The sequence below is a fragment of the Homo sapiens genome, chromosome 4 (genome assembly GCF_000001405.40).
Source record: "Homo sapiens chromosome 4, GRCh38.p14 Primary Assembly".
Taxonomy (NCBI): Eukaryota; Metazoa; Chordata; class Mammalia; order Primates; family Hominidae; genus Homo; species Homo sapiens.
In genome coordinates, this window is record NC_000004.12 from 5,757,660 (window position 1) to 5,775,125 (window position 17,466).

The window sequence follows — 17,466 nt, forward strand, 5'->3', positions numbered from 1 at the left end:
AGAATGAAAGAGAGGGCTCTGGTCTCTCCCTTTTCTTATAAGGACACCAGTTCTATGGGATTAGGGCCCCACCCTGATGACCTCATCTAACCTTAATTACCTCCTTAAAGGCCCTGTCTCCAAATACAGCCACATGGGATATTGGAGGTTAGAGCTTCAACATAAGAATTTGATTACTTAATTACCTCCAAATACAGTCACATGGGATATTGGAGGTTAGGGCTTCAACCTAAGAATTTTGGAGGGAGACACAATTTAGTCCAAACAGTGTCCTTCAAAACGTCATGTCCATCTGGAACCTCGGAATGTGGCCACACTTGGAAATAAGGGCTTTGCAGATGTAATTGGTTAGATCGCACAGTTGGTTAGGTCCTACTGGATTCGGGTGGGCCCTAATTCTAATGGCTGGTGTCCTTATAAGAAGGCCATGAGAAGACATAGAGACACAGGGAAGGAGGCTGTTTGAAGACAGAAGGAGGGACTGGAGTGATGCAGCCACAAGCCGAGGAACACCTGCAGCCACCAAAAGCCAGAAGAGCCCAGGAAGGGCCCCTCCCAGAGCCTTTGGAGGGGGCGAGGCTCTGCCAACACCTTGGTTTCATACTAATGCCCTCCGGAACGGTGAGAGAATAAACTTCGTTGTCTTAATGCACCCAGTTTGCGGCGCTTTGTCATGGCAGCCACAGGAAACTAAACGGAAGGCGATCTTTGTTCAGGGCTAGCTCCTATCTTAAGTGCCTCTTGAGTATTTGATTATTTAATTCTCATGAGATTCATGAGGAAGACACTGCATTTTCCTTCCTTCCCAGATGAGGAGTGAAGAAGTGTTTTCTCCAGAAATGGGTAGGATGGGGCTCAATTTGTCAAAGCCCTGGGGCCCACAGACAGGAAAGGAACAACTTTGTCCCCAGAGGAGTCAAGACTCACATCCCTGGCTGGGCATGGGGAAACCAAGTTCTAATCTTCCTCTGAGTGCTAACATGCTGTGTGACCTTGGCTGGTTACATAACCTGTCTGTGCTGGCCCATGTATCTTGCCCAGGTTTTACACAGCTAGCAAGCGGGGAAGGTGAGATTTAAAATAAAGGCTTTCTAATGTTAGTGCTGATGTGCTCACCCCAACCATGCTGCTCAGTGTTGACGGCTGTTGTGAAACCTCGCTTCTTGTGTTTTTAGTTTAAAAGTATGTAAACAAGAGACCACAGTAAAGGGGATGCAGCACAGAGCAATTTATTGCAAAGGAGAAAGAATGTTCTGAAAGTTAGGTGCAGAATAGACAGGATGCCCTGGGAGATGATTCAGAGCAGATGAGACAGCCTTGACTTACCGGGGAAACTCCCTTTCTGGGGAGTCTTATGTGATTATTCATAAGGGCGTGGGAAGAAGCATTATTAGTAAGCATGTTGTGGAGGGCGGTGGGGGCGGGTCCTCTGAGTGCCCAGGCACAGTAGCTGTACACACTTGTTCATACGTCACATGTCTCATTAGCATCTTAAGTCTCCGTCCAAAGGTGTGTTTTTTACTATTATAATGGCGCAGAGGGTCAGTCTGAGGACAGATAAAATCAAAGTGCACCTGCCGACTGCAGGAGACGTTGCCTACTGCAGATAACTGCTTGAAAGAGCCAGACTACAGTGTAAATGCTGAGGCTTACTGTGTTGATGGTTTGGTCGCCGCATCCCAAGGACATGGTCACTTCCTTGACTACCTATCCTGCCTTACGTGTGGGCTGTGGAGCATAATGGTGAAGCCCAGGCTCTGGAGCCAGACATCTGGGGTTCAAATTCCCAGCCGGGCCACTTATTTCCCCTGCCGGAGGTGAGCCCAGGTGGCCCAGAGGCTATGGGCGGCGGGGGTGGTTTCAGCAGCATTCTCCTCCTCACCCCCTATGGTAGCTTATTGGATTCTCACCCATCCTCTCTAAAGCAGTTCTCAAACCTTGCTGTGCATCAGAATGTCATCAAGATTAAGGAAATTGAGGTACAGGTTAGATCACTTGCTCACAATTACACAACCAGGCTGACAGCCTGAGTAAAACCCTATCAATGATTGCTGCAAAGGGTAAGCCAAGCAGTATATAAATGTAAACCCAGAACATCTGAGACGGGTCTCAGTTCATTTAGAAAGTTTATTTTGCCAAGGTTGAGGCTGCGCGAGCCTGGGACACAGCCTCAGGAGGGCGCGTCCTGACGACACGCGCCCAAGGGGGTCCGGACACAGCGTGGTTTTATACATTTTAGGGAGACAGGAGACATCAATCGGTACATGTAAGAAGTACATTGGTTCGGTCAGGAAAGGTGGGACAACTTGAAGCAAAGACAGGAAGACTCCAAGCGGGAAGTGGGCTTCCAAATCACAGGTAGGCAAGAGATAAACAGTTGCATTCTTTTGAGTTTCTGATTATCCTTTCCAAAGGAGGCAATCAGATCTGCATTTATCTCAATGAGCAGAGAGATAACTGTGAATAGATGGGAGGCAGGTTTGCCCTGAGCAGTTTTCAGCTTGAGTTTTCCTTTTTGCTTAGTGATTTCGGGGGCCCAATATATTTTCCTTTCACAATACGGAAGTTCCTGGCCAGCCCCAGCGGGTGCTGGTAACTACATCAGTTTCAATAAAGAGTTGTCAATGATGCCAAAATGACATCCTTAGGAAGTTATGCATTTGGTTTTTCCCTGTGTGGGCCTAGTTGCTGGGCCTGTGAGAGCTTCAGTGAAGAAAGTGAAGACAGCCTTTTAACGTAACATCAGGAGAGGGTGACAGGTGTGACGAGGGGTGATACCTGCTGGAGTCTCTCTCCTAGGAGGAGGTATATGAAATGTACTGCATAAGAAGGTGTCGAGGGACACAGTGGAGATGGGTGTGAAATTCTCCACATCTGTGTGGGTGTTTTTTGTTTTTTGTTTTTTGTTTTCAGACAGAGTTTAGCTCTAGTTGCCCAGGCTGGAGTGCAATGGTGCGATCTCAGCTCACTGCAACCTCCGCCTCCTGGGTTCCAGAGATTCTTCTGCCTCAGCCTCCCGAGTGGCTGGAATTACAGGCATGTGCCACCACGCCCAGCTAATTTTGTATTTTTAGTAGAGGCAGGGTTTCACCACGTTGGTCAGGCTGGTCTCGAACTCCTGACCTCAGGTGATCCACTCGCCTTGGCCTCCCAAAGTGCTGGGATTATAGGCGTGAGCCACCGCTCCCGGCCTGGCCCAAGGCCTGTGTCAGCATGTCTCCCAGAATTAGTCTGGAGGGATTTCCTTAGATTTACTTTGCCATTTCATCACAAGCTTTTAGGTTCCAGGTCGCCTGGCATATTTTACATTTCCTCAATTTGGAAATCATTGCCTTTGGTTACTGGAAACTGCTTTTCCTGATACTCCATAGGAGCAGGCTAAAATCCTCCATTGCCGATTGGAGAGCTGGCTGCGCCCTCCTGGCTGGGCGTCCTTGGGCCAGAGCCTGGACTGTTCTGAGCTCTGGTTTCCTTCTCTGTGCAATGGAGACTGGGAGCCCATTTACTTTAAAGGCTGGGTGTGCCGAGGAGAGCAGGTCCAAGGCCCAGACCTGGCACATGGTAGGTGCTCAGTGAATGCCTCCCCGCCTGCTCCACAGGGAGCATGATCTCAGGAGATGTTGAGCCCAGTGGGGATGAGCCCAGATCTGGGTCCAGGGTCCTGGGTGTGAATCTCAACCACCAAAATGAATGACTGAAGCAGGTGTCACAATCAATCGAGGTTTATTGAGCCAGCTCGAGGGTGCACCTGGAAAAACGCAAGTCACAGACTTGGCTGTTTTTTCCAAAGAGGTTCTCAGGAGGTTTAATATTTATACATTTTCCTTTAAAAAGGCGGGGGGCGGGGGGTGGTTGGGGGGTGGGGCAGCAATGAGAGGAACAGTTACACACTTGAAAGACTTTCGTTAGTGCCTAGTAAATCTACAGTTTACGTAAGATCAGGCGAACATTTGAAGAAAAAGAGAACAGAGGAAGCAGGCGTCTCATCTTGTCTTTGTTCTGTACCTGGGAAGATAAGCCAGCCGTCAACATGATCAGCATGGAGTCTTTTGAAAGGGCGGGTTTCTGTTTAGTCCTTAGGGAAGAAAGCCTTATGGTGGTTGGCTAGCAAGGGAAGGGGTACAATGAGTTGTGTTCCACCTCTCATCCCGACCTTTACGGCACCGGGAATTCAGCTTCCAAGGTTTCTCTGGGGTCCCATTGGCCAAGAAGCCCCAACTGTTAATCAGTTGGCAGCTTAGAATTTTTTTTTTTAATTATTATTTAAGTTTTAGGGTACATGTGCACAATGTGCAGGTTAGTTACATATGTATACCTGTGCCATGCTGGTGCGCTGCACCCACTAACTCGTCATCTAGCATTAGGTATATCTCCCAGTGCTATCCCTCCCCCCACCCCCACCCCACATCAGTCCCCAGAGTGTGATGTTCCCCTTCCTGTGTCCATGAGTTCTCATTGTTCAATTCCCACCTATGAGTGAGAATATGCGGTGTTTGGTTTTTTGTTCTTGGGATAGTTTACTGAGAATGATGATTTCCAATTTCATCCATGTCCCTACAAAGGTAATGAACTCATCATTTTTTATGACTGCATAGTATTCCATGGTGTATATGTGCCACATTTTCTTAATCCAGTCTATCATTGTTGGACATTTGGGTTGGTTCCAAGTCTTTGCTATTGTGAATAGTGCCGCAATAAACATACGTGTGCATGTGTCTTTATAGCAGCATGATTTATAGTCCTTTGGGTATATACCCAGTAATGGGATGGCTGGGTCAAATGGTATTTCTAGTTCTAGATCCCTGAGGAATCGCCACACTGACTTCCACAATGGTTGAACTAGTTTACAGTCCCACCAACAGTGTAAAAGTGTTCCTATTTCTCCACATCCTCTCCAGCACCTGTTGTTTCCTGACTTTTTAATGATTGCCATTCTGACTGGTGTGAGATGGTATCTCATTGTGGTTTTGATTTGCATTTCTCTGATGGCCATTGATGGTGAGCATTTTTTCATGTGTTTTTTGGCTGCATAAATGTCTTCTTTTGAGAAGTGTCTGTTCATGTCCTTTGCCCACTTTTTGATGGGGTTGTTTGTTTTTTTCTTGTAAATGTGTTTGAGTTCATTGTAGATTCTGGATATTAGCCCTTTGTCACATGAGTAGGTTGCGAAAATTTTCTCCCATTTTGTAGGTTGCCTGTTCACTCTGATGGTAGTTTCTTTTGCTGTGCAGAAGCTCTTGAGTTTAATTAGATCCCATTTGTCAATTTTGTCTTTTGTTGCCATTGCTTTTGGTGTTTTAGACATGAAGTCCTTGCCCATGCCTATCTCCTGAATGGTAATGCCTAGGTTTTCTTCTAGGGTTTTTATGGTTTTAGGTCTAATGTTTAAGTCTTTAATCCATCTTGAATTGATTTTTGTATAAGGTGTAAGGAAGGCATCCAGTTTCAGCTTTCTACATATGGCTAGCCAATTTTCCCAGCACCATTTATTAAATAGGGAATCCTTTCCCCATTGCTTGTTTTTCTCAGGTTTGTCAAAGATCAGATAGTTGTAGATATGTGGCATTATTTCTGAGGGCTCTGTTCTGTTCCATTGATCTATATCTGTTTTGGTACAATTACCATGCTGTTTTGGTTACTGTAGCCTTGTAGTATAGTTTGAAGTCAGGTAGCGTGATGCCTCCAGCTTTGTTCTTTTGGCTTAGGATTGACTTGGCGATGTGGGCTCTTTTCTGGTTCCATATGAACTTTAAAGTAGTTTTTTCCAATTCTGTGAAGAAAGTCATTGGTAGCTTGATGGGGATGGCATTGAGTCTATAAATTACCTTGGGCAGTATGGCCATTTTCACGATATTGATTCTTCCTACCCATGAGCATGGAATGTTCTTCCATTTGTTTGTATCCTCTTTTATTTCATTGAGCAGTGGTTTGTAGTTCTCCTTGAAGAGGTCCTTCACATCCCTTGTAAGTAGGATTCCTAGATATTTTATTCTCTTTGAAGCAATTGTGAATGGGAGTTCACTCATGATTTGGCTCTCTGTTTGTCTGTTGTTGGTGTATAAGAATGCTTGTGATTTTTGTACATTGATTTTGTATCCTGAGACTTTGCTGAAGTTGCTTATCAGCTTAAGGAGATTTTGGGCTGAGACAATGGGGTTTTCTAGATATACAATCATGTTGTCTGCAAACAGGGACAATTTGACTTCCTCTTTTCCTAATTGAATACCCTTTATTTCCTTCTCCTGCCTAATTGCCCTGGCCAGAACTTCCAACACTATGTTGAATAGGAGTGGTGAGAGAGGGCATCCCTGTCTTGTGCCAGTTTTCAAAGGGAATGCTTCCAGTTTTTGCCCATTCAGTGTGATATTGGCTGGGGGTTTGTCATAGATAGCTCTTATTATTTTGAGATACATCCCATCAATACCTAATTTCTTGAGAGTTTTTAGCATGAAGGGTTGTTGAATTTTGTCAAAGGCCTTTTCTGCATCTATTGAGATAATCATGTGGTTTTTGTCTTTGGTTCTGTTTATATGCTGGATTACATTTATTGATTTGCGTATATTGAACCAGCCTTGCATCCCAGGGAAGAAGCCCACTTGATCATGGTGGATAAGCTTTTTGATGTGCTGCTGGATTCGGTTTGCCAGTATTTTATTGAGGATTTTTGCATCAATGTTCATCAAGGATATTGGTCTAAAATTCTCTTTTTTGGTTGTGTCTCTGCCCAGCTTTGGTATCAGGATGATGCTGGCCTCATAAAATGAGTTAGGGAGGATTCCCTCTTTTTCTATTGATTGGAATAGTTTCAGAAGGAATGGTACCAGTTCCTCCTTGTACCTCTGGTAGAATTCGGCTGTGAATCCATCTGGTCCTGGACTCTTTTTGGTTGGTAAGCTATTGATTATTGCCACAACTTCAGCTCCTGTTATTGGTCTATTCAGAGATTCAACTTCTTCCTGGTTTAGTCTTGGGAGAGTGTATGTGTTGAGGAATTTATCCATTTCTTCTAGATTTTCTAGTTTATTTGCGTAGAGGTGTTTGTAGTATTCTCTGATGGTAGTTTGTATTTCTGTGGGATCGGTGGTGATATCCCCTTTATCATTTTTTATTGCGTCTATTTGATTCTTCTCTCTTTTCTTCTTTATTAGTCTTGCTAGCAGTCTATCAATTTTGTTGATCCTTTCAAAAAACCAGCTCCTGGATTCATTAATTTTTTGAAGGGTTTTTTGTGTCTCTATTTCCTTCAGTTCTGCTCTGATTTTAGTTATTTCTTGCCTCCTGCTAGCTTTTGAATGTGTTTGCTCTTGCTTTTCTAGTTCTTTTAATTGTGATGTCAGGGTGTCAATTTTGGATCTTTCCTGCTTCCTCTTGTGGGCATTTAGTGCTATAAATTTCTCTCTACACACTGCTTTGAATGCATCCCAGAGATTTTGGTATGTTGTGTCTTTGTTCTCGTTGGTTTCAAAGAACATCTTTATTTCTGCCTTCATTTTGTTATGTATCCAGTAGTCATTCAGGAGCAGGTTGTTCAGTTTCCATGTAGTTGAGCGGTTTTGAGTGAGACTCTTAATCCTGAGTTCTAGTTTGATTGCACTGTGGTCTGAGAGATAGTTTGTTATAAATTCTATTCTTTTACATTTGCTGAGGAGAGCATTACTTCCAAGTATGTGGTCAATTTTGGAATAGGTGTGGTGTGGTGCTGAAAAAAATGTATATTCTGTTGATTTGGGGTGGAGAGTTCTGTAGATGTCTATTAGGTCTGCTTGGTGCAGAGCTGAGTTCAATTCCTGGGTATCCTTGTTAACTTTCTGTCTCATTGATCTGTCTAATGTTGACAGTGGGGTGTTAAAGTCTCCCATTATTAATGTGTGGGAGTCTATGTCTCTTTGGAGGTTACTCAGGACTTGCTTTATGAATCTGGGTGCTCCTGTATTGGGCGCATATATATTTAGGATAGTTAGCTCTTCTTGTTGAATTGATCCCTTTACCATTATGTAATGGCCTTCTTTGTCTCTTTTGATCTTTGTTGGTTTAAAGTCTGTTTTATCAGAGACTAGGATTGCAACCCCTGCCTTTTTTTGTTTTCCATTTGCTTGGTAGCTCTTCCTCCATCCTTTTATTTTGAGCCTATGTGTGTGTCTGCACGTGAGATGGGTTTCCTGAGTACAGCACACTGATGGGTCTTGACTCTTCATCCAGTTTGCCAGTCTGTGTCTTTTAATTGGAGCATTTAGTCCATTTACATTTAAAGTTAATATTGTTATGTGTGAATTTGATCCTGTCATTATGATGTTAGCTGGTTATTTTGCTCGTTAGTTGATGCAGTTTATTCCTAGTCTCGATGGTCTTTACATTTTGGCTTGATTTTGCAGCGGCTTGTACCGGTTGTTCCTTTCCATGTTTAGCGCTTCCTTCAGGAGCTCTTTTAGGGCAGGCCTGGTGGTGACAAAATCTCTCAGCATTTGCTTGTCTGTAAAGTATTTTATTTCTCCATCACTTATGAAGCATAGTTTGGCTGGATATGAAATTCTGGGTTGAAAATTCTTTTCTTTAAGAATGTTGGATATTGGCCCCCACTCTCTTCTGGCTTGTAGAGTTTCTGCCTAGCGATCAGCTGTTAGTCTGATGGGCTTCCCTTTGTGGGTAACCCGACCTTTCTCTCTGGCTGCCCTTAACATTTTTTCCTTCATTTCAACTTTGGTGAATCTGACAATTATGTGTCTTGGAGTTGCTCTTCTCGAGGAGTATCTTGGTGGCGTTCTCTGTATTTCCTGAATCTGAATGTTGGCCTGCCTTGCTAGATTGGGGAAGTTCTCCTGGATAATATCCTGCAGAGTGTTTTCCAACTTGGTTCCATTCTCCCCATCACTTTCAGGTACACCAATCAGACGTAGATTTGGTCTTTTCACATAGTCCCATATTTCTTGGAGGCTTTGCTCATTTCTTTTTATTCTTTTTTCTCTAAACTTCCCTTCTCGCTTCATTTCATTCACTTCATCTTCCATCGCTGATACCCTTTCTTCCAGTTGATCGCATCGGCTCCTGAGGCTTCTGCATTCTTCACGTAGTTCTCGAGCCTTGGTTTTCAGCTCCATCAGCTCCTTTAAGCACTTCTCTGTATTGGTTATTCTAGTTATACATTCATCTAAATTTTTTTCAAAGTTTTCAACTTCTTTGCCTTTGGTTTGAATTTCCTCCTGTAGCTCAGAGTAATTTGATCGTCTGAAGCCTTCTCTCAGCTTGTCAAAGTCATTCTCCATCCAGCTTTGTTCCGTTGCTGGTGAGGAACTGCATTCCTTTGGAGGAGGAGAGGCGCTCTGCTTTTTAGAGTTTCCAGTTTTTCTGCTCTGTTTTTTCCCCATCTTTGTGGTTTTATCTACTTTTGGACTTTGACGATGGTGATGTACAGATGGGTTTTTGGTGTGGATGTCCTTTCTGTTTGTTAGTTTTCCTTCTAACAGACAGGACCCTCAGCTGCAGGTCTGTTGGAGTACCCTGCTGTGTGAGGTGTCAGTCTGCCTGGGCTGGGGATGCCTCCCAGTTAGGCTCCTCGGGGGCCAGGGTTCAGGGACCCACTTGAGGAAGCAGTCTGCCTGTTCTCAGATCTCCAGCTGCATGCTGGGAGAACCACTGCTCTCTTCAAAGCTGTCAGACAGGGACATTTAAGTCTGCAGAGGTTACTGCTGTCTTTTTGTTTGTCTGTGCCCTGCCCCCGGAGATGGAACCTCCAGAGGCAGGCAGGCCTCCTTGAGCTGTGGTGGGCTCCACCCAGTTGCAGCTTCCAGGCTGCTTTGTTTACCTAAGGAAGCCTGGGCAATGGCGGGCGCCTCTCCCCCAGCGTGGCTGCCACCTTGCAGTTTGATCTCAGACTGCTGTGCTAGCAATCAGCGAGACTCCTTGGGCATAGGACCCTCCGAGCCACGTGTGGGATATAATCTCCTGGTGAGCCGTTTTTTAAGCCCGTCGGAAAAGCACAGTATGCGGGTGGGAGTGACCCGATTTTCCAGGTGCCATCTGTCACCCCTTTCTTTGATTAGGAAAGGGAACTCCCTGACCCCTTGCGCTTCCCAAGTGAGGCAATGCCTCGCCCTGCTTCGGCTAGCACATGGTGCGCTGCACCCACTGACCTGCGCCCACTGTCTGGCACTCCCTAGTGAGATGAACCCAGTACCTCATGTGGAAATGCAGAAATCACCCATCTTCTGCGTCGCTCACGCTGGGAGCTGTAGACCGGAGCTGTTCCTATTCGGCCATCTTGGCCCCTCCCCCCACCGGCAGCTTAGAATTTTACTTTTCTTCCTCAGTCTGCTAACCAGGCATCTTGGGAGAGTTTGTTCATTCATTCATTCGTTCATTCATTCATTCATTCAAGTATTGTTAAGCACAGCTTTGTGCAGCATGTGTATGCTTGGCATTGCAGCAGCAGCAGCAGTGAGGCCAGTGTAAGGGCAGTGGGGAAGCTGGGGAGGAAGGTAGGGAGAAAGGGGCAGAAGAGGAGGGGATGAGTCCAGAGCGCCTCATCTTGGAAGACGTTGCAGACTGTTCCAAGATAGTTGCATTTACTTCTGAGTGAGACAGGAAATCACCAGCATGTTTTGAGTAGGGAAGTGACTTGCTTTATGTTTTACAAGGACCAGTGTGGTTTCCATGAGGAAAACAGACTGTAGGGGCAGAGGCAGAAGCAGGGAGCCCTGGTAGGAGACTGCTGTGGCCCGTGTAAGAGATGGTGCTGACTGACGGGGCAGGGAGAAAGCCTGGAGCTTTGTGTTTGTTTGGACGATCAATATCCCACCTCCTCTATGTTAAAGTAGACCTAATAGGCCTTCATATGAATATCAAGAGGTTTAAATAATCTCACGTGGGTAAAGCATATAGAAGAGTGTTGGGCACACACTGATACTCAAAATGTATTCTCGGCTGGGCACAGTGGCTCACACCTGTGATCCCAGCACTTTGGGAGGCTGAGGCAAGCGGATCACTTGAGGTCAAGAGTTCAAGACTAGCCTGGCCAACAGGGTGAAACCTCATCTCTACTAAAAATACAAAAATTAGCCAGGTGTGGTGGTGGGTGCCTGTTATCCCAGCTACTCGGGAGGCTGAGGCATGAGAATCGCTTGAACCCAGGAGGTGGAGGTTGCAGTGAGGCGAGATCACACCACTGTACTCTAGCCTGGTGACAGAGCAAAACTCTGTCTCAAAAAAAAAAAGAAATATTCTCATTCATCATCATTCACCATATAGAAAGGTGTGCACAGAACAGGCTCTCAAGGTACCCTGCCTTGCTGGCTGGCTGGCTGTGCCCAGGCCCAGGCACACAGAGGCATCATTTTACCCCTTCTTTGGGCATGACACTGATCATGATATTGCAGGCACAGTGGCTGTGAGATACATTTGATGGTCACCTATATTAATTTGTTCTCACACTTGTAATAAAGATATACCCGAGACTGAGTAATTTATAAAGGAAACAGGTTTAACAGACTCACAGTTCCACGTGGCTGGGGAGGCCTCACAGTTATGGCGGAAGGCAAATGAGGAGCAAAGTCACATCTTAAATGGCAGCAGGCAAGAGAGAGCATGTGCAGGGGAACTCCTCTTTATAAAACCATCAGATCTCATGAGACTTACCCACTGTCACAAGAACAGCATGGGAAAGACCCACCCCAGTGACTCAGTTACCTCCCACTGGGCCAGTCCCATGACATGGGGATTATGGGAGCTACAATTCAAGATGAGATTTAGGTGGGGACACAGCTAAACCATATCATAACCTAATGGTTCTCAGGGCTACAGAGAAAAGTGCATTTTTCTGAATCCCCCCTGTCTCTCGGCCTCTAAACAGTCCATTTTCAGTTCACTTGGGATGGATGCTGTGCGATCGCGTGAGCTCTGTGGCTCGGCACCTCACAAACAGGTTGCTGCACCAAAGCCAGTGTCATCCCAATAACAGCGGGGCTCTGGGTGGAGTTTGCTGTCATCCCATTCCAGGGGCCACACAGCCCACCTGTTCATTTGGATGTCTGTCTGACTGTCCCCCCATAGCTGTTTCTCTTGAAAGGCTCTGGGAGAAGGTGGTAAAATCACAGCCCTGTCATGCGGGGACTTCTCAGCTTCAGGCTGTCCCAGGAAGTTAGGGCTGAGAAAAAGAGAAAACACTGGACTCTGTCCTTGAAGAACACAGGCATGATAACAGGTGCTTATGAAGTGTCTGAGAGTAGTTCCCAAACCACCTTCACTTCTTCTGATGTCAGATGCAAGTTTGGTGGTCCTGAAGATCCCCCTCAGGCTCTTTAACTCACCAGAAGGACTCCCAGCACTCCCTGACAGCTGCTGTGCTCAGGGCCAGGCTGATGATAATGGAAGGCTACAGACTAAAGTCAGCCAAGGGAGAGGCATAGGGCTCGAGGGGGGCTCTCTGCACAGAGCTTCTGGGTGTCCTCTCCTGGTGGAGCTGAGGGCAGCACTTACTCCCCCTGGCCACAATATGTGACAAGGCACACAGAGTGTCACCAAGCAGGGAAGCTTGCCCAGGCTTCAGTGTCCAGAGTTTTTATTGGGCTCAGCTACACTGGTATGGCTGACCCTCCGCCCCCACAGCTGCCCTGAGCCTCCAGCCCTTCAGAGGTCAAGCTGAGACCACATGCCCTAAGGCCTCCCTGCCGTAAATCACAGTGTTAGCATAGACTATCAAGGCCGCCAGGTCAGCAAAGACACTCCAGTCAGACCAAACATTCCAGGGGCTGAGAGGTGACATACCAGGGGCCAAGGACAGGCCAGACCCCTCTTTGGTCAAGATTAAGTGCTGCATGGCACTGGAAGTCTAAAGTGTCTGTTCAAGGTCACTCAGCTGGGGCCTAGGAGTCAGGCCCAAGCCTCGTAACATTCTAGTGGGAAGTAGTGATTCGGAGAACACAAGAAGGGAGAAGGAATGTGCCCTCCTTGATGGAAGGGTTGAGGCTTGCTCATTTCTCCACCCCTGGGGTTGTGTCCAGGGCATAACCCACTCTAGACAATCAGTCAATATTGATGAATACACAAATCAGTCAATCAGTTAATGTATTAATGAATTGGCTGGGAGTGTTGGCTAACACCTGTAATCCCAGCACTTTGGGAGGCCGAGGTGGGCAGATACACCTGAAGTCCAGAGCTCAAGACCAGCCCGGCCAACATGGCAAAACCCCATCTCTACTAAAAATAACACAAATTAGCCAGGTGTCGTGGGGTGTGCCTGTAATCCCAGCTACTTGGGAGGCTGAGGCAGGAGAATTGTTGAACCCGGGAGGCAGAGGTTGCAGTGAGACGAGATCGCACCATTGCACTCCAGCCTGGGTGACAGAGCGAGACTTCATTTCAAAAAAAAAAAGAAAAGAAAATACATCAATGCATCAGCTAAACAATTGTCATTCTGAAGATGTCATATTAGGTATTAGTTTTCTATAGCCACTATAACTAATGACCACAAACTCAGTGGCTTAAAGCAACACAAAGTTATGTTACATTTCTGGAGGTCAGAAGTCTGATGTGGATCTCTCTGGGTTAAAATGAAGGTGTCAGCAGGGCTGACTCCTCCTGGAGGCTCCAGGGGAGAAACAGTTTTCTTGACTTTTCCAGTTTCTAAAGGCCACCCACATTCCTTGGCTCAGGGCCCTTTCTTCCATCTTCAGGGCCGGCTACTCCTGCCTCTGCTTCCACCATTACATCTTCTCTGACTGTGACCCTCCTGCCTCCCTCATTCACTTATAAGAACCCTGTGATGACATTGGAGCCAACAGTGTCATCCAGGATCTTCTTTCCATCTCAGGATCCTTAACTCAGTCCCACCTGCGAAGTCTCTTTACCATGTAAAGTTCCGTGCTCAAAGGTTCCAGGGATTGGGACGTGGACATCTTTAGGGAGACATTCTGTGTACCACGGAGAAAAACAGTACATTTCCAAAGAGAGAAATAAATTTGTTTATTGAAGGCCATGAAAACCCTGATTTTCTGGGCAGTAACCTATTGGAAGCAGATCTTGAGAGAAAATGACAGAAGCCTGGGCACCACAGACCTCCCCGTCGCCGGGAAGCAGGTGTCCATGGGCGCTGCAGAGTGCAAGGCAGTTTCCATGGTCCTTTATTAGGCTTAAAGGGTTATACACCATGACCAAGGATGCAGGGACTGAGAAAAATAGGCTGGGTGATTCATATCTCCCTTTACAGTAACCAGCTAACGGAATGTGGCTTTTTATTTTATTTTATTTTATTATTATTATTATTATTTTGAGACGTCTCACTCTGTCGCCCAGGCTGGAGTGCAGTGACATGATCTCGGCTCACTGCAAGCTCCATCTCCCAGGTTCACGCCATTCTCCTGTCTCAGCCTCCCGGGTAGCTGGGACTACAGGCACCGCCACCACGCCCAGCTAATTTTTTGTATTTTTAGTAGAGACAAGGTTTCACCGTGTTAGCCAGGATGGTCTCAATCTCCTGACTTCGCGATCCGCCCGCCTCGGCATCCCACAGTGCTGGGATTACAGGCGTGAGCCACCGTGCCTGGCTGTGGCTTTTTATTTTAATTTAGTAAAACTACTGGGGTAAATGTGTTTTCTTTGCAGAAGTACAACTCACAGTGCCCTTGTATCACATGCTACCCCTCTTTCCTTTTGGTAATTTTCACAACCATCTTACCTCCCTGCAAAGAGGTACGGGGGAGAGAAGAGTCGTTCAAGAAGCAAACAGACCAGGTTATGGGCCCATTTCAGCTGCATACCTGCTGTGTGGCCTAGTCCATATCACTTAACCTCTCTGATCCAGGAATTCTTGGCTACCTTCCTTTTAAGTTCTTAACCATATGAAAGAGCCACTTAACACCCCAGAATGCCTCCTGTTGTTCTCAAGAAGAAGTCCAACATCCTTAATCTGGCCCATCATGACCACTTAGCTTGGTCCACGAGGCCCATCCAGCCTGTCCACAAGATGCCCCCAACCTGACCCACAAGGTCTTCCTGGCCTGACCTATGACGCTTCCACCCAAGCTGGCCCACAGGATCCACCTGTCCAGCCTGGCCCATGAGGTCCACACAACCTGGCCCACTCATCACCCTTCCTAAAGTTCTGTCCCTTGCTCCCTGACTTCCAGCTGACCTCAGATGTCTCTCAGTTCCCCCAAGGGTGCACTTGTCCCTCCCACCCCAGTGCCTGAAACTGTCTTCCTCCCTTCCCTGGGCTTTGCCTAGCCAGCTCATTCTTGCTCTTTGAGTCTCAGCTGAAATGTCACTTCTTTAGGGGAGCCCTCCTCTGACCTCTCCCCAGACCTGTCTAACTTAGGACTTCCATCCTCCTGGTCATCACATGTGCCACAGCCTGGGGGGAGCATGTGTGCACTGTCCCCTGTTGGGCTGTGAACTCCCTCGGGTCTGGGTCCACACCTGCCTCGGTCACCGCAGTGTCCCTGGCACAGGGCCTTGCCTGCGGTAGGTGCCAGGAGACATTTGCAAAATGAACGTATGCATGCTGTGAGGATGACACACATATTTATCCCAGAGCGTTCACTTTTAGGACCCCCTCCATCTCCTGCTGTCCAGGTAACTATGATCACAGTCATGCTGTGTAACAAGACACCGGGAAACCCAGGGGCTGAAAACAACAGTGATTTGCTCTCATGGGCTGCAGCTTGGCCAGCAGTTAGCTGATCTAGGCTGGGCTTGATTAACTTGACTCAGCCTTGCTCCATGTCCCTCCCATCTTCCCCCTAAGACCTGTGGACTAGCCTGGGCATGTTCTTCTCATAGCAATAGCTGAGGTCTAGCCTCCAAAGCAGCACACCTCACTTCCACCTCATTCTGTCGCCCAAAGCAAGTTACGTGCCTGAACTCAGTGTAGCAGAGGCAGGGAAGTGCTCTCCACTCACCTTGAGAAGTCCCTGCAAAGTTATGTGGCAAGGGGTGTGGGTGCCGGGAGAGAGACTGGGAGGCGGTGCGCTGAGCTGCCGGGGTGTTTTGTGGGATCCCCCATAGTCCCTGCAGGTTTGTATGCAGGTATCCTCCCTTCCTTTTTTAAGGGAGTTGGCCCATGGTCATGCTTCTGGTGGATGGCCCAGTACTGCAGGTGCCAGAGCTCCTGCCCCTTGTTCAACCCACTTCCCATTTTTAAGAGACTCAAGCTCACCTGTGCTCTCCAGGACCCACTTGTCAGGGGAACTGGAGCACACTTTACTCTGAAGTCATTAAATGTGCATCTTCAGAACAATCAGGCTGGGGTCCCTGGGGAACATTCTTGGGTCCTGTGATGAGGAACAAAAGTCTCCCAGGGGCCAGACCATGTCCAGGGAATCCCAGAAAGATCCATTCCGTGGACTCTGAACCTTCATTGGTGCATCTTCAGCCCTGGCCACATCCTTGCCTTTCTTGAACCCCACCATGGTCCAGTTTGCCAGATCACTTGGCAGTGTGTATTTGGGTCCTTCGTATGGTGTTGGCCCCCTCACTAGTCCTGTGCCTCTGCAACACTCTATACTTCAGTCCTACTGGGCCACCTGCCCATTTCTGGCTTTGTACCTCTCCTTCCTTCCCTCCCTCCCATCTCTCCCCTCCTCCTGCTTGCCTTGCAAACAACTGAAACAAAAACTGCCTCTGCTCAGAGGGAATTATTCTCACCTCTTTTCCCCCAAATGCTTTGTTCCTAGAATGACAATAGCAGTGGATAACACTTCTTGAGAACCACACACTAACTTCTCCAACTTTTATCTAATGATACTAGCTAGCATTTATTAAGTGCTTGCTGTGTGCTGTGAGCCAGCCAATCCCCATAAATCCTTTCTAATCCTCATAATCAGCCCTCAAAGCAGGTATTATCAGCCCCCTTTGACAGATAAGACTGAGCCTTGAGTAGGTTAAGGAAGCTTTGTAAAGCTCTAGACTATGGGTATCTTCCTTGCCCCAAGTACCTGCTGTGTGAGAAACCTGGGGAGGGCAGGTGGTGGTTTGAATGCGGCTGCAGAGGAGACAGCTGAGTGAAGGAGCAAGTACAAAGTGAGCAGTTTGTATTTGCCTGGGCTGTGTGTGCTTCTGTTTGAGGGGGAGGGGATAGCCTCCTAAGCTTGGGGGATGAGGCTCAGGGCCAGCTTCTATTCCCCACCAGAGTTCCACTGTGTCCTGACCCCTTTACACACACTGGGAAAGCAATAATGCAAATTAATTCTGGTTCTATTTCAGGCACAGAATAAATCAGTATCTCCCAAGTGACATATGCCAGCATTAGTGGGAAGTGATGTGTTTTATGGCCTGTCAGACCATGTGACAAAGAACGCAGACTTGAGTCTTTCCAAGGAGCAGACAGGATCCAGCACATTTCTTATTAGAAGGAGCCTAAGCTAATGGACCCTGTTGTTTTTACAAAGCTAACCCTTCTCTAATTTACAAATCCCGCATATTTTTGTGATTTGACCATTGTGAACAATAAAGAAAAAGGTTTGTCCCAACCACTGCTGT

At 46.9% G+C, this 17,466-nt stretch overlaps 1 protein-coding gene across 47 annotated transcripts in view, besides 5 other annotated features; it reads left to right on the plus strand.

Annotated features, from left to right (window-relative positions):
* The window catches only part of EVC (EvC ciliary complex subunit 1), a 117,857-nt gene that overhangs the window by 46,459 nt on the left and 53,932 nt on the right, over positions 1–17,466 (plus strand). Inside the window, exon 12 of one of the 47 annotated variants that reach the window (NM_001306092.2) lies at positions 422–652. The exons of 45 other annotated variants lie outside the window; for them this stretch is intronic. In NM_001306092.2, coding sequence (NP_001293021.1) covers positions 422–466 — 45 coding nt within the window. In that variant the 3' untranslated portion in view covers positions 467–652. Of the gene's footprint in view, positions 1–421; positions 653–17,466 lie in introns of those variants that run through there. One more of the 47 variants, XM_017007883.3, reaches the window with a different exon arrangement.
* Positions 743–1,942: an enhancer, noted in NCBI's record as "P300/CBP strongly-dependent group 1 enhancer chr4:5760129-5761328 (GRCh37/hg19 assembly coordinates)". NCBI's record gives its function as "activates an origin of replication core promoter dependent on BRD2, BRD4, P300/CBP, MED14 and CDK7 cofactors, with strong dependence on P300/CBP, by STARR-seq in HCT116 cells {active_cell/tissue: HCT116}" and the evidence as "EXISTENCE:reporter gene assay evidence [ECO:0000049][PMID:35650434]".
* Positions 1,611–1,660: an enhancer, noted in NCBI's record as "active region_21244". NCBI's record gives its function as "activates an Ori minimal core promoter by ATAC-STARR-seq in GM12878 lymphoblastoid cells {active_cell/tissue: GM12878}" and the evidence as "EXISTENCE:reporter gene assay evidence [ECO:0000049][PMID:35858748]".
* Positions 14,849–15,592: an enhancer, noted in NCBI's record as "H3K27ac-H3K4me1 hESC enhancer chr4:5774235-5774978 (GRCh37/hg19 assembly coordinates)". NCBI's record gives its function as "activates a minimal SCP1, AML or CMV promoter by ChIP-STARR-seq in primed H9 embryonic stem cells {active_cell/tissue: H9 hESC(primed)}" and the evidence as "EXISTENCE:reporter gene assay evidence [ECO:0000049][PMID:30033119]".
* Positions 15,593–16,334: an enhancer, noted in NCBI's record as "H3K27ac-H3K4me1 hESC enhancer chr4:5774979-5775720 (GRCh37/hg19 assembly coordinates)". NCBI's record gives its function as "activates a minimal SCP1, AML or CMV promoter by ChIP-STARR-seq in primed H9 embryonic stem cells {active_cell/tissue: H9 hESC(primed)}" and the evidence as "EXISTENCE:reporter gene assay evidence [ECO:0000049][PMID:30033119]".
* Positions 15,716–15,825: an enhancer, noted in NCBI's record as "active region_21245". NCBI's record gives its function as "activates an Ori minimal core promoter by ATAC-STARR-seq in GM12878 lymphoblastoid cells {active_cell/tissue: GM12878}" and the evidence as "EXISTENCE:reporter gene assay evidence [ECO:0000049][PMID:35858748]".